General features: G+C 41.5%; 1 long non-coding RNA gene and 1 pseudogene across 1 annotated transcript; both read right to left on the reverse strand.

Annotated features, from left to right (window-relative positions):
* Nucleotides 1-1,001: 1,001 nt before the first annotated feature.
* LOC105377608 (uncharacterized) lies at nucleotides 1,002-2,837 on the reverse strand. Its single transcript, XR_939620.3, has 3 exons — nucleotides 2,681-2,837; nucleotides 1,474-1,528; nucleotides 1,002-1,378 (listed from the first exon to the last, which is right to left on the reverse strand). It is a non-coding gene; the product is annotated as an uncharacterized LOC105377608 (long non-coding RNA).
* ICE2P1 (interactor of little elongation complex ELL subunit 2 pseudogene 1) lies at nucleotides 12,005-14,382 on the reverse strand (annotated as a pseudogene).

Below are 16,576 nucleotides of genomic sequence, written 5' to 3' on the forward strand. Positions count from 1 at the left end.
TTACTAGGCAGATGTGGCACAGGAAAAAGGGCAAGGTAATCGAGAGTAAATAGAAGGGGGTGGTGACAATGACTGATGTAAGATTGACGCTGGGAAATGAAGGAACTGAGAGCTGGAGGGGTGCAATTAATAGAGTGCGGGCTTTGTGGGTTCAAAATATTTAGAATGGGGGCCAAAACGCTGAAGGAGACAGCAAGAAAAGATTATGGAGGAGACAGAGTGAGTCTGGATATGAAAAAAAGTCCAGCGTGTTATCACAAGAGACAAACTGGAAGAGGCTAGATGAGCAGAATAGAGGACAAAGAACCAAGAGTCCTGGGTATTGGTAAAACCTGCTGTGGTCTGGATGCTTGTGTCCCTCTAGATTCCTATGTTGAAACCCTCATCTCCAAGGTGATGGCATTAGGAGGCGGGGCCTTTTGGGATGCGACGGGATCATGAGGGCAGAACCCTTGTGAGTGAAGTTCATGCCTTATACAAGAAAGCCTAGGGCCTTCTTTCCTCTCCACCGTGAGGATGCAGTGTGCAGTGAACTAGGTAGCGGGCTGTCACCAGACACCACACCTGCCGGCACCTGGATCTCAAACTCTCCAGCCTCCAGAACTGTGAGGAAGACATTACTGTTGTTCATAAACCACCCAATCTACAGTATTTTGCTACAGCAGCCAAAATGGACGAAGACAGATCATTTACACGGGTAGAAAAATCACCAGGAATAGCGATGGTGAGAAAAACAGCAAGCCAGACACAAGAATCACCCGTGATGAAGGGGATGGTAAATGACTAGGGAGAGTGACAGAAGGCCCAGTCCCCTGACATGAGCCTTGATGGAACTGGAGCTTTTAGCAGGAACCAGGGCAAATGGGCTTGAGGCAGCCCAGTAGTGTGCAGGGTGTGAAAGGGAAAAACAGCCCTCAGTTGACAGTGTAGTACTTTCCTAGGACTTCTGTAGCAAAACACCATGCACTTAATGCCTTCAATCAACAAACATTTATTCTCTCACAATTATGGAAGCCAGAAGTCTGCAGTCAGTATCAATGGGCCAAAATCAGGGTGTCAGCACTGTCACCCTCCCTTGGTGGCTCCATAAGGAAACCGGTTCCTTGTCTCTCAGCTTCTGGTGACTGCCAGCATTCATTGGCTTGTGGCCACATCACTCCAATATTTAGGGTCAACATTTTTTGATCTCCCTCTGCTCTGTCTTCATATCTCTTTCTCCTCTGTGTGCCCTAAAATCTCCCTCCTCATCTCGTAACAGAATATGTGTGATGTGTGATTGCATTCAGGGTCCATCTGAACAATCCAGGACGATCTCCCCATCTTGAGAACATAATCATATCTGCAAAGGCTTTCTTTTCTTGCCATATGTTATGGTCACCTGCAAAGACATATGGGCCCCTGAGGTTTGATTTGAATGTTGAGGCTGATGATGCCACACACAAGCTAAGGGGGTATGAAAGGTTCATTACTCACATACTTCAGGCTTCTGGGGAGAGCAGGTGGGCCTCACAAGCAGATCCAATGTGACCTAAGAAAGCAAGGGAAGAAGACTGGCCCAAGATGTTATAGTGGTTAGGGGTGGGGCTGGGGTGGGGTCAAAGTTCCCATGTGTGGGAAGGGCTCGTATGGTTTGACTCCCCCACCAGTGCCAAGGGAGGGGGCTCCCCATCTTTCCTGTTGGCTTATCCAGATGCGGGCATAAAGGAATACCAAGGGGTGAGGCCTAGAAGCTGTCAGGAGTCAAACATCAAGAAATGGGGCCAGTCTGGGCCTGGTGGCTCATGCCTATAATCCTAGCTGGGAAGCTGAGGCCCAGAACTTTGGGAGGCCCAGCACTTGAGGCCAGGAGTCTGAGACCAGCCTGGCCAACATGGTGAAACCCTGTCTCTACCAAAATATAAAAGTTAGCCAGGGGTGGCGGCACATGCCTGTAGTCTGTAATCCCAGTTACTTGGGAGGCTGAGGCAGAAGAATCACTTGAGCTCAGGAGGCAGAGGTTGCAGTGAGCCGAGCTCACACCACTGCACTCCAGCCTGGGTGACAGAGTGAGACCCTTCCTCAAAAAAAAAAAAAAAAAAAAAAAAAAAAAAAAAAAAAAGGGAGGGAGGCCAGACTACTCATTACATCATATAAGGCAATTTTCCCAGGTTCTAAGGTTCTAGAGATTAGGAACTGGCTATCCTGGGGTGGGTGGTAGAGTCCAGCCTACCACAGGGAGTTATGAAACATAAGCATGGTCCTCAAGGGGGAACTGAGATTAGGGTTCGATCAGAAATAGGAGGGGCGTATGAAAGAAGTCAGTGCTATAGATTTTTATGTAGTTACCAATGAGCTGAAACCCATTTCCCCATTTTATCTGTTTTGTTCATTGCTGTGTTCTCAGCTTCTACAACAGTACTTGGAACATAGTTGGCATTTGATAAATATTTTCTAAATAAATAAATGAATAAAAATGGACGACATTTCTAATGTAAAGAAGTTATTGGAAAATCACAATGGAAAGTTGGATTTGAAATTTAGGCATCTTCACAAAGTTCATATGCATTATTACTTTAAAATTCTGTAGCGTGGAAGGGAGATGGCAGGGGAGTATGTCACTTTGTGACACAAATGAATGAACCATGCTAATTTCATGGAAAACCCTATCTAAAATTCTGAAACAGAACACCCTGCCTCCCACCTGACATAGCTGCTTCTGTTAGCGTTTTCCAGCCCTGTGTCTCCATGCAGAACAACCCCAACCGCCTGCTCTGTTGTGGGTCAACACGCTGCCTTTCCAAGCACTCTGAATACACCACAGACGTGTCCTACCCACAAACGTCTTCCTGGTGGCGCCCCTTCAAATCTAGGATCTACAATATGGAAAGAAAATTTTATTTAAGTAGCTGTTCATAAGACACTAACTGAAAGATGTGCGCGCGTGCACACACACACACACACACACGATGTACAGTGTCACAGAGGCTCTAGCTATGGTTATTGGACTTCCGAAGGATGCAGAAGGAGAAAGAGAGTGATAATTAACCATTACGTTAGAGCAAAACCCAAGATGGTTCCTGCACGTTGATTTTCTACAGTGATTAACTTTTTTTTTCTTTTGTTTTTGAGACGGAGTCTCGCTTTGTGTCCCAGGCTGGAGTGCAGTGGTGCGATCTTGGCTCACTGCAACCTCTGCCTCCCAGGTTCAAGCAATTCTACTGCCTCAGCCTCCCTAGAAGCTGGGATCCCAGGTGCCTGCCACCACACCTGGCTAAGTTTTGTATTTCTAGTAGAGAAGGGGTTTCACCATGTTGGCCAGGCTGGTCTTGAACTCCTGACCTCAGGTGATCCTTTGGCCTCCCAAAGTGCTGGGATTACAGGCGTGAGCCACTATGCCCAGCCCCTCTACTGCATAACTTAATTACCACAAAATAATGCACTAGATCTTCATATTTCCTCCCACGGGGCACTCATTCACCAAGGGACTCATTTCCAAGGTCTTTCACCCTATTTCTTTTCTTTTGAAAAATATTCAGGGAATGAGAGTTTAATATAAATTGTCATTAGCCAATATTCTTAGCCAGTCCCACACCTTTAAGATGGCCCGTCTTGACGTCTTGTTCAATGGTTGCCAAGCCGGCAAGTGAGCATGCACATCCTCTTGGATTTCGTCCCCAAATACAAGAGGAAAGAAACAACGTCTCCCACTGTGAAGGATGGTGGCATCGTTAGTGGGAGGGTGTCCACTATATCTGTCTTCTTCTACTGCCCTGTATTTTCTCATATCACAGCTTGACCTCTCTAAATCTGATGGAAGGAGAAAGACTGAAGTCAGAGAGGCTTGTATCTGATGGAAGGAGAAAGACTGAAGTCAGAGAGGCATGTACGGAGCTTTGAGTTTTATTGTTTGACACGCAAGGGTCTGATACTTTTGTTTCTGGTCTCCTGTCAGGGTGCCACTGACAGGGCCTTACACTCTGCTGAATGTAGCCCGTAGCCCTTTGGTGAGCACCTTGGCCTGCACAGAAGGCCCCTGTGCTCAGCAGAGTCTTCAGGGAGAAATTCACTTCTGGGTTTTCTCGGCGCCTGAGAATCCTCTTCAAGGTCTCAGTCTTCCATCTCTAGTCCTGCTCTGCCCTCTCTCTGAGTTCACTAAGATTGTGGATCTTCTAGGTTTTCACAATGGACTTTTCCTTCTCATTTTGCCCTGCTCTGTGCTTTGTACTTGTGCAGCATGCAGTTGTCTGAGCCCTGTGCAGAGTCTCAACTCCCAGCCCTCTTGTTTACCTAGCATTGTGAATGCACACTGTGATTCTGGGTGGCATTTCTCTGGAGCTGTGCATTCCAGGATTCCGGTCAAGAGAGAAATAATGCTCACATGCTTCCTCGGAGGACTAGGACTGACCCCGCTGCATGCATCTGAAGAGGTAATGGTCCCTACAGTGTGGTCCTTTTTGGGCAAGGCTTGTTAATATCTGCTCTTTCATTACTGTGTAGTAGGGCAAAGTCACTGCAAATGGCCGTTTCCCGGTTTCTAATGTCCTGCTTTTCCTAGCCCCCTAAGGTACTTTGACCACTGGTTATGAACAAGGCTGTTGGCTATTCTATTTTCAAACAGCAGTCGTCTGTTAGGAATAACTATCAATTTAATGGCGCCAATGGCCATCAAAACAAAGAAAATTACACAGTAAGTCTGTCTTTCTTTCTCGAAGGGAATCATTTGCATCTCACTGTGGTACCAAGTGTCGCCGTTTCCCTCAACATGCTGGTAACCATCAGTCCCACAACAGAGTGAACCAAGAATGCAGAGGGCTTTTTGTGCTCAATATCTTTGCTTTGGCCAAGGAAACACTTTCCATAATATCACGTTTACTTTTTTAACTTTTATAGTACAGAGTGAAACATGTAGAAAATAGTAGCTGTCTCGAAAGAGATGGGAAGACTAAGCCTAGTGATGAATGAGGCACACATAGAAAGGGACAGGTGCACCAGGACATGGGTGGGGATGGTCCCTGCTCCATAGAAAGGGACAGGTGCACCAGGACACGGGTGGGGATGGTCCCTGCTCCTCATGTCTGTGCGAGGCTTTCATTTGCAGGCTTCACAGTGCTTTAGAATAATGTGTTCATGGAATAAAGAGAAAGGTAGCATGGGAGGAAAATGTTTTCATACAAAGCGAGGAAATTAAATATCACTTGATTCAACTGGGTATTTTAAGGGGAAAATTACATGATTAAATCACACCCATGGAAGTTTGGTTTAGAATTCCATTATCTAAGATGGATGAACATTTCCAAGGCCCTAAACTGTGTATTAGAAAGAAATCCTAATTGCATCAAAATAAATGAAATGTTATATTTTTGTTATTAGTTTTTGAGTGCCTTTCAACCCAGAAGAAAACTAAACTTGATTTAAAAAAAAAAAAGCTTTATAACAAGATGTTAGAGGTGATAAATTTAAAGTTTGAATAGGAAGAGCATGGTCTGGGACTAGAAACACTGTAGGACAGAGATGTTCCTTTCCACCTATTTAGTTATTCATTTAATAACAGGCTACAGGTATCACCTATTTTTTTTTTTTTTTTTGAAACTGAGTCTCAGTCTCTCGCCCAGGCTGGAGTTCAGTGGTGCAATCTAGGCTCACTGCAACCTCCACCTCCTGGGTTCAAGCAATTCTCTGCCTCAGCTGGGATTACAGGCGCCCGTCACCACACCCAGCTAATTTTTTTGTATTTTTAGTGGAGACGGGTTTTCACCATCTTGGCCAAGCTGGTCCTGAACTCCTGACCTCGTGATCCACCCGCCGCGTCTTCCCAAAGTGCTGGGATTACAGGCATGAGCCACCGCTCACGGCCCTATCATCCATTCTTGATTGCACATCCTCTTTTGGCTTCCGTGAAAGCATACTGCTATGTTTTATTTCTGCCTCTCTTGTTACCCGCCGTTATCAATCCTAGGCTCCTTTCTCCCATGCTCCTGCCTCTATATGGTGTTGCTGAGGTCCACCTTTCCTCTCTCATCCATCACTAAGGTTGCTAGAAGATCCTTGTTCTCAGGGTGTCACTCACACACATGACTCTCAAATCAAAGTAGCCAGCAGAACCTCCACGCTGTGATCCAATCTAGAATTTCCAAGCTGTCTTCTGGATATTTCTTTTTGAATATTTGAACCAACAGTACTGTACTTTAACTCTTCCTCTGCTTTCTTCCCAAGGCTCCTAGCTTCTGTGTTATCATTTGTGACTTTTCCATTAAGAAAAAATCTGTTACGAGTTATTTCACCTAAAACACGGCACATTATTATTTTTTAATTTGTAATAATTGTGTCTGTAGTCTTAAAAGTACAATGCTATCTCAGAATCATATAGGTATCTTTTTTTTTTCTTTTTTTTTGAGATGGAGTCATGCTCTGTTGCCCAGGCTGGAGTGCAGTGGCACAATCTCGGCTCACTGCAACCTTCTACTCTCTGGTTCAAGCGATTCTCCTGCCTCAGCCTGCCAAGTAGCTGGGATTACAGGCACACATGCCACCACGCCCAGCTAATTTCTGTATTTTTAATAGAGACGGGGTTTCACCATGTTGGCCAGGATGGTGTCAATCTCCTGACCTAGTGATTCACCTGCTGGGCCTCCCCAAAGTGCTGGGATTACAGGCATGAGCCACTGTGCCCAGCTGGGATCTCGTTAAAGACACAGACCCCAATTAAGATTGGGGAATCAGAGCCTTTGGAGACTTGGGAACTCGTGCTGTACTCATGACTTCACGTGGTTCTCATACACACTAAGGTGAGAGAACCATAACCCTGGACAGCAGAGAGGATACTTTTTGTTAATTAAATGCCACACTTTATTTCAAGATATTAGATTAGGTATTATTGACAGCTGTTTGCAAAACCCAGGAAGGCATTTTATCAATAGCTACTATTCATTTTCAGTTTGCTTCATTCCAACTTGCTGTGTATTTTAGTTGCTCTTTCGGTTTAAAGCAAATGAACCAACTCTGACTAGATTTAAACAAAAAGCGAATCTAAGCGAACCTATTGGGAGAACACTAGGTTATCTCATGGAGATGTGGTAAAGTAGAGAATAGGGAGGGACTAGATCAACTCCAGGTACCTTGGCAGTGAAACCTCGTGGATCTTCTCGCCACTGAATTTCCTTCAGTTGGACTTTGGCTCCTGTCACTTGCAACCTGTACTTCCACCCCTGCTCCCAAATTTAATTTTATTTTTTAAAATTGCTTTTAAATGACATGTAATAATTGTACATATTTCGGAATACAAAGAGATATTTCCATACATGGATGTAATGTATAATTACCATATTGTGGTAATTAGCATATCTATCATGTATAACACAAAGAATTTATCATTTCTTTGTGTTGGGAATATTCAAAATCCTCTTTTCTAGCTATTTGAAAATACACAATAAATTATTGTTAACTATCATCACCCTTACAGGGCTATAGAAACTAGAGCTGACTCCTATCCAGTTGTAATTTTGTATCTCTCCTTATCCTTCTCTCCTCCTATAGTCTCCAACTGACAGTAACCATAACTCTACTCTCTGCTTCTAGAGCTCAATGTTTTAGCTCCCATACATGGGTGAGAACATGCGGTATTTATCTTTTTGTGTCTGACTTATTTCATTTAACATAATGTCCTCCAGGCTCATCCTTGTTGCTGTGAGTGACAAGACTTCATTCTTTTTTATGACAGAATAGTATATCATTGTGTGTAGTTACCACACTTTATCCACTCATCTGATGATAGACTCTTAGGCTGACTCCATATCTTGGCTATTGTGGATAGTGCTTCAGTAGACATGGGAGTGCAGATATCTCTTTGAGATACTGATTTTCTTTCTTTTGGATGAATAGCGAGTAGAGGGATTGCTAGATCATATGGTAGTTCTATTCTTAGTTTTTCGAGGAAACTCCATACGGTTTTTCATAATGGCCATACTAATTTACAATCCCACCAACAGTATGTAGGAGCTCCCTTTTCTCTGCATCCTCACCAGCATCTGTTATTTTTGTCTTGTTGATAGTAGCCATTTTAACTGGGACAAGAGAATATCTCATTGTGGTTTTGATTTGCATTTCCATAATGATTAGTGACGTCATTTTTTAAAATGTTCTTTTTGCCCATTTGTATGTCCTTTTTTGAGAAATGTCTTTCAGATTCTTTGGCCACTGTAAAATCAGATTTTTTTTTGCTTTTTTATTTTTTTGCTGTTGTTTGAATTCCTTGTATATTCTGAGCATTAATCTCTTGTTGGATGAATAGTTCGCAAATATTTTCTCCCATCCTAAAGTGGTCTTTCTATTCTGTTGATTACTTCCTTTGCTGTGCATAAGGTTTTTAGTTTGATATAGTCTCATTTGTCTATTTTTACGTTTGTTGCTTGTACTTGTAAAGTCTTACCTATAAAAGCTTCACCCAGTCTCAAGTCCTAAAGTGTTTCCCCCATGTTGTCTTCTAGGAATTGTATAGTTTTGGGTCTTAAACTTAAGTCTTTAATCCATTTTGAATTTATTTTCATGTATGGTGTGAGAGAGAGAGAGAGAGGTCTAGATTTATTCTTCTGCATATGCATATCCACTTTTCAACGTTTTTGGTGACTTTGTCAAAAAGTCAGGTGACTGTAAATAAGAGAATTTATTTATGGGTTTTCTAGTCTGTTCCATTGGTTTATGTGTCTGCTTTTATACCAGTGTCATGCTGTTTTGATTACTAGAGCTTTGTAGTATATTTTGAGGACAGGTAGTATAATACTTCCAGCTTTGTTCTTTGTGCTTAGAATTGCATTAGCTATTCAGGGTATTTTGTGGTTCCATACAAGATTTGGAATATTTTTTCTATTTCTGTGAGGAATATCATTGGTATTTTGATAGTGAAACCAGTCCAGTAGTCCCATAGATAGCTTTTTTTTGGATAAACATAGAATTTGATCCTTCTGTTCTTAAAGCTTGAAGCTTGCATTTGTTTTATCTGTGTTCCTTCCTCAGGATGACATTCAGGGCTCTCAAAAAAAGTATCAAAGAGGCCGGGCGCAGTGGCTCACGCCTGTAATCCCAGCACTTTGGGAGGCCGAGGCGGGCGGATCACGAGGTCAGGAGATCGAGACCATCCTGGCTAACATGGTGAAACCCCGTCTCTACTAAAAATACAAAAAATTAGCTGGGCGAGGTGGCGGGTGCCCATAGTCCCAGCTACTCAGGAGGCTGAGGCAGGAGAATGGCGAAAACCCGGGGGGGGGGAGCCTGCAGTGAGCAGAGATCGCACCACTGCACTCCAGCCTGGGTGACAGAGTGAGACTCCGTCTCAAAAAAAGTATCAAAGAACTGAAACTCACCTGATCACCACATCCAGACAATGAGATGCCAAACCCCTCATTCATCATGATTACTTTCTTGCTCCTCCCTAGTTCCTCCCTTTTCTTAGACATTGTCACATTTCTTCCCTGCTATATAAACCACTAGTTATAGCCAGTCAGGGAAATGGATTTGATACTAATCTCCCATCTCCTTTGCTGCAGCACTCCGTTAAATCCTTCTTCCTTGGCAATACTCATTGTTTCAGTGACTGGCTTTCTGTGTGGCAAGCAGCAGGACCTAGACTGAACCCCTGTGCTTTGGTAGCAACAGGAATTGCACTAAATCTGTAGCTTGCTTTGATTAAGATGGTCATTTTAACAATATTGACTGTTCCAATCTGAACATGGAATTTTTCTTTTTTGGTGGGTGTGTCCTTTTCAATTTTTCTCATCGGTGTTTTGTAGTTTTCATTGTAGAGGTCTTTTATCTCCTTGGTTAAATTTATTTCTAGGTACTTTATTTTTTTGTAGCTATTAAAAATGGGATTGCTTTTTTGATTTCTTCAGCTAGTTTGTTATTGGTATATAGACTTGCTATTAATTCTTATATGTTGATTTTATATTCTGCAACTTTACCAAATTCACTGATCAGTTCCAAGAATTCTGTGGTGAAGTCTTTAGGTTTTTCTCTATATAAGATTATGTCATCTGCAAAGAGGGACAATTTGATTTTCTCTTTTCCAATTTTGCTGTATTGTATTGCTTTCTCTTGCTTAACTGCCCTGGCTAGGAATTCCAGTACAGTGTTGAATAAGAGTAGTGAAAATGGGCGTTCTTGTCTGGTTCCAGCTCCTAGAGGAAAAGTTTTTCCCCATTCAGTATGCTGTCAGCTGTGGGTTTGTTACATACGGCCTTTATTATTTTGAGGTACACTCCTTCCATGCCTAATTTATTGAGAATTTTTTGTCATGAAGGGATGTTGAGTTTTATCAGGTGCTTTTTCTGTATCTATTGAGATGATCCTATGGCTTTTGCCCTTAATTCCGTTGATGTGATGTATCACATTTATTGATTTGGGTATACCAAAACATCCTTGCGTTTTTAGGACTAATCCCATTTGAACATGGGTGTATAATTTTTTTGATGTGCTGTTAGATTCAGTTTGCTGGTATTTTGTTCAGGATTTTTGCATTTAGGTGCATCAGGGATACTGATCTGTAGTTTTGTCGCTATTGCTTTTGTGTCCTGGTCTGGTTTGGGTAGCAGAGTAATGCTGGTCTGCTAGAAGAAGTTTGGAAATGATCCCTTCTCTTCCATTTTTTTGAAGAGCTTGTGTCAAATTGGTATTAGTTCTTTAAATCTTTGGGAGAATTCAGCAGTGGAGCCACCAGGTCCTGGGCTTTTCTTTGATGGGAGACTTTTTATGATGGCTTCAATCATATTGCCCATTATTGGTTTGTTGAGGTTTTCTTTTTCTTCATGGTTTCATGTTGGTAGGTTGTATGTGTGCAGGGATTTATTCATTTCTTCTAGTTTTTCCTATTTGCTGGTGGATAGTTGTTCATAATAGTCTCTAATGATTGTTTGTATTTCTGTGGTCTCAGTTGTTAGTCTTCTTTTTTGTTTCTGATTTTATTTATTTGGGTCTTCTCTCTCTTCTCTTAGTTTAGCTAACAGTTTATCAATTTTTGTTTGTCTTTTCAAAAAGGCAAGTTTTCATTTCATCGATCTTTTGTAATTTTTTTTTAGTCTCTACTATGTTTAGTTCTGCTCTGATCTTTATTTATTTATTTTCTAGTTTAAAATTTTGGGTTTAGTTTGTTCTTCCTTTACTAGTTCATTGATGTGCATTGTTAGATTGTTTATTTGAAATCTTTCTACTTTTTTAAAGCAGGCATTTATTTCTATAAATTTATTCCTGGGGATCAACTTACCTCTTTCTGTGTGGTGAGGAGTGTCTCTTGGGATGAGCCGATCCCAGCCAGGCTCTTCACTTTCCTCTTTATGCTGCCATCTCCAGTCTCTGTGCATCAGAAGGTCTTTATCACTTTCTTGCTGAATTCCAGTGTTTTCTCCTATACACTCTATTTGATGTGTTGTTTTCTAATTGTTTTGGTCCTTTGTGGAGTAGGAGAGCACTGGGCATCTCTTATCAGCCTTCTTGATGACATCTGGATAGGACAATATTGATCAATGATATATCTAGAAGCAATTTTGAATAAATAATATAGTGTTATAGGTTATAATTAAATATGTAAACCAAAAATAAATAAAGGAAAGGAAGAAAAACCTCCCTTTTTTTCAGAGGCAGGGAGTTTTTATTTTTGGCTTCTGTAATGGTATTTCACCAAGTTTTAAAGGTATTAACTTTATTAACCCGCAACATTCATCATTTTAAAGGCGTATATAGAAACTATCAAAATGGGTCAGAAACAAGGTTTGCGATACTCATAATTATCTTCAACAGTGGCAATATTTAACCTTTTGAGTCAATCTCAACAGATTGGCAATATAACATAATATATATTGATAAGTGTCATTCTTGATAAAAAATCAAATTATTTTTCTATTTACAATTTTTAGAAAAGGTTTAATGTAAAAATATTTTTCTTCTTTATATATTTCCCTGCCATGATAATGTTAAAACATATCAAGATGCTCCTCAAAGTTTAGGAGTGAACAGCATAACATTCCATTTTAGTTGAAGCATTCTTTCACATAGCCAACATATTTTTTCAAGACACTCTAAGAACTCGTGAGGATACTACAGGAAAAATGTTCCTCTTGCCTACTGAGCTTTTAGTCATATTTTCCCTCAAACTTTTCTAAATTAAACATTGTTATAACTGGGTTTGTTTTTTTTTTTGAAATTTAATTTTCCACGGTGCAGTCCTCAAGTTATTCTTTTATTCGGAGCCACTCCTTCAGTTTCAACTTGCTGAGCAGGCAAGCAACTGCTTTTGGTTTCTATGGAAACTGGATTCCTGTGGCTGCCTGTAGGTATTCTCGTTCCACCAACCTTTTGTTGTGTTGTGGTATCCAGTGATTTAGGTGGAAAAGTACAAGTTATTCTTCCATGATGGATATGATATGGTCATAACAGGCTAGGATCTAATCGGACCCAGAGAACTGAGAGACTGGAAGGTACATCAGGAAGGCTGCAATGTGTTTTATACAAATTGTATGCTGTCCTAGTAACTTTTCCATCAGAGGTCTTATGGATTGGGAGTGAAGAATCTTCTGCTGCCTGAGATAACAAGTAGGAACCCTCCTGCCAGCTACTTAATTTCTTTAGAATGTGTTGGAGAATGTTAAATACATTGGAAATCTTGAGTGCTGAAAGCTTTTCTTTTAATGCTTCTGAGGTAATTTCTTCCAGTAGAAAAAGCTTTGAAGTAAATGCATCGATATGGCCAATGTAAAATATCTGTTGGAATGCAATCAACTTCCAGTCCACAAGCGACAACGTTCACTTTCAGTCAGAGCTTCAACTCCATAACCAGCTTGATTCTCTACTTCTGGTAGTACATAAACTGGAAATTGTTTTCCGATTTTCTTCTGTTTCTTAGAACGTGGTCTTGTCTCCATCCTCCGGACACTGCAGCACATGAGTAACAACAGGTCTTGCAGGCTAAATAACTTATGAATAAAGTTTCCTTCCTGAGGAGCTAGGTATTCCGACGTATCTTCAACATAGTCCTGAAGTTCATATGGCAATCGTCCTTTTGGCTTCTGAAATGCAGAAGGCCATCCAATTTCGGCCAACTAGAGGCATCTGAAGGGACAGACCGTTGCTCAGAAACAGAGGGCTGTTTAGAATTTTCTAAATTCATTAAGGGCAATTTGGGTACTTTTCTGGAAATTGGCTTTAAGAGCTCATCCTGCATTTTAAAAATTTCTCCAACAGGATCAAATTTTTTATATACTCATTTGATAGGTTTTTTTAAAAAAAAATACATGACTTGCCAGGCGTGGTGGCTCACGCTTGTAATCCCAACACTTCGGGAGGCTGAGGAAGGTGGATCACCTGACGTCAGGAGTTCGAGACCAGCCTGACCAATGTGGAGAAAGCCCATCTCTACTAAAAATACAAAAAAAAAAAAAAAAATGGCTGGGTGTGGTGGCGCATGCCTGTAATCCCAGCTACTTGAGAGGCTGAGGCAGGAGAATTGCTTGAACCTGGGAGGCAGAGGTTGCAGTGAGCTGAGATCGTGCCACTGCACTCCAGCCTGGGGCAACAAGAAAGAAACTCCGCCTCAAAAAAAATTAAATAAATAAAAAGTAAAAAAATAAAAACACATGACTCTTCTGGACTACAAGCAGTATTAGTCTGGTTTTCTGCAGAAGCCTGTCCTGAGGAAGAATTTGGGCTAGCTGGTCAAGAATTTAAGTTGGAACCCATGACAGCTGTCTTTCCGTCACTATTATTTTTACACTCTGTATCAATAATTAAACACTCCTTATCTGTATCACTGCTGCAGAGAACTGTATCTTCAGTTTTAGCTGCTTCTGATGTCACAGTCTTTTCCTTTGAGTTGTCTAGGTTTTCCAGAACATTGGGTCTTTCAGCATCAACATGTACCATATCTATAGTCATATCATATTTATTAGCAGTTTCAATTTCCTGAGAATTTTCTAACTGTAAGGCATCAGATGTTTTCAAGTCACTATCTTGCCTCGAAGACTTGTCAGTATTTGATACCTTTTTGCCACATGATTCAAATCCCTGGTCATCTTTATTTTTGCACTCTTTAGGGCCACCATCCATACCAGTGACCAGTTGTTTCTCCTTTTGCGACTGTTCAATGAGAATCTGAGATAAACTTCTAGAATTAGCAGAAATGTCTGGTGCACTTGGTGCCACAGGTGTAGTTCCTGCTTTGGGGGCTGTAGGAGCATCTGTCACGTTAGTTACTGTGGAAGTACTTGCTGGACTTCTTGGCTTTGATGCTTTGGTGGTGGTTACTCCAAAAGTTTCAAGTTTTGTAACATCACCATCAAAATCCAGATACAAGTTTTCAAGAGTCTCAGTGTTTTGGCACTCACTACTTCACAGGGCATGTCCATTTCAGATATAAACTCTTCAAGGATAAACCTCTTTTCTATGCCTGGTGGGAGAGTCAAAGATCCCTGTTCTTAAGGATGTAAATATATACACAGATAATATAGTTATTGAATAACTTGGGTTTGAGGGAAGTAAAAATAGTTGTTTTCTAGCATAAAAGTAATTCCTTTTTCAAAGCTTCAAATTAATTTTGGATCAGTGGGAGGATCATTTTTAAACTTAATAAATGAGTGAAAGTCCAGTTAAAACAGAAGAATAAGAACAGTTCATTTTAAGTAGACTCTCACAAGCTTGGTCAAATCAAATGCTCTAGGACCTTCTCGTATATTTTAGGATACTTTACTTGTATTTGGGAGATGATTCCCCAGGAGTATTTCATATATTCACATGTGGTGTAAACAGAGACTCTGGCAGCTTTTCTTTCAAATGATCTTTTCAAGGATATTGCCATTGTGAACAGCTTTGGAAGTTAAGGTAGCTTTTCCCTCTGTGGTAGAGGGCAGGTTTTCTTGGTGTTTAGGAAAATTAAAATAATGACTACTTTTAGGACAAAGTTTGAGCAAACTTACTTGAGGTCTGATATGGTTTGGCTGTGACCTCACCCAAATCTCATCTTGAATTGTAGCTCCCACAATTCCCATGTGTTGTGGGAGATACCTGGTGGGAGTTAATTGAATCATGGGGGTAGGCCTTTCCCATGCTATTCTCGTGATAGTGAATAGGTCTCATGAGATCTAGCGGTTTCACAAAGGGGAGTTTCCCTGCACAAGTTCTCTTTTCTTGTCTGCCGCCATGTGAGATGTGCCTTTTACTTCCAGCCATGATTGTGAGGCCTCCCCAGCCATGTGGAACTGTAAGTCCATTAAAACTCTTTCTTTTGTATATGCCCAGTCTCAGGTGTGTCTTTATCAGCAGCATGAAAACAGACTAATACAAGGTCCATTATAAATGACTGGAGTTTCCTAAGCTCCAGCTTCCATAGCTATGAAGAAAATCCACTCAGTATACAACTTTTCCCTTTTTTAGCCTAGGAGTCTTGTGTCTTTTGCCAACATCCATGAAACAATGATAATGTAACTCATTAGATTGCAAGTAGAGTAAACCTCAGACCCTTTACAATTAAGTGTTTCTCCACAGTTTACATGAAATTGAAAAATGAAGGCACCAAGAATTTGTTTTTTTCTCCTTACACACACATCTGGGCTTTTACAATTGTAGGGACCAGCCCCACAGGGTCGGAGGGTTTTTCTCCCCGTGTGCGGAGATGAGACATTGTAGAAATAAAGACACAAGACAAAGAGATAAAAGAAAAGACAGCTGGGCCTGGGGGACCACTACCACCAAGATGCGGAGACCGGTAGTGGCCCTGAATGCCTGGCTGCGCTGTTATTTATTGGATACAAGGCAAAAGGGGCAGGGTAAGGAGTGTGAGTCATCTCTAATGATTGACAAGGTCACATGAGTCATGTGTCCACTGGACAGGGGGCCCTTCCCTGTTTGGCAGCCGAGGTGGAGAGACAGAGAGAGAGAGAGGACACAGCCTACGCCATTATTTCTTCATATCAGAGGTTTTTAGTACTTTCACTAATTTTGCTACGGCTATCTAGAAGGCAGAGCCAGGTGTACAGGATGGAACATAAAAGTGGACTAGGAGTGTGACCACTAAAGCACAGCATCACAGGGAGATGGTTAGGCCTCCAGATAACTGTGGGCAGGCCTGACTGATGTCAGGCCCTCCACTAGAGGTGGAGGAGTAGAGTCTTCTCTAAACTCCACCAGGGAAAGGGAGACTCCCTTTCCCAGTCTGCTAAGTAGTGGGTGTTTTTCCTTGGCACTGACGCTACCGCTAGACCACAGTCCACTTGGCAACGGGCGTCTTCCCAGACGCTGGCGTTATCACTAGACCAAGGAGCCCTCTGGTGGCCCTGTCTGGGCGTGACAGAAGGCTCGCATTCTTGTCTTCTGGTCACTTCTCACTATGTCCTGTCTCTGTATGGCCTAGTTTTTCCTAGGTTATGATCATAGAGCAAGGATTATTATAATATTGGAATAAAGAGTAATTGCTACAAACTAATGATTAATGATATTCATATATAATCATATCTATGATCTATATCTAGTATAACTATTCTTATTTTATATATTTTATTATACTGGAACAGCTTGTTGCCTTGGTCTCTTGCCTCGGCACCTGGGTGGCTTGCCGCCCACATGC

The sequence above is a fragment of the Homo sapiens genome, chromosome 4 (genome assembly GCF_000001405.40).
Source record: "Homo sapiens chromosome 4, GRCh38.p14 Primary Assembly".
NCBI classification, from domain to species: domain Eukaryota; kingdom Metazoa; phylum Chordata; class Mammalia; order Primates; family Hominidae; genus Homo; species Homo sapiens.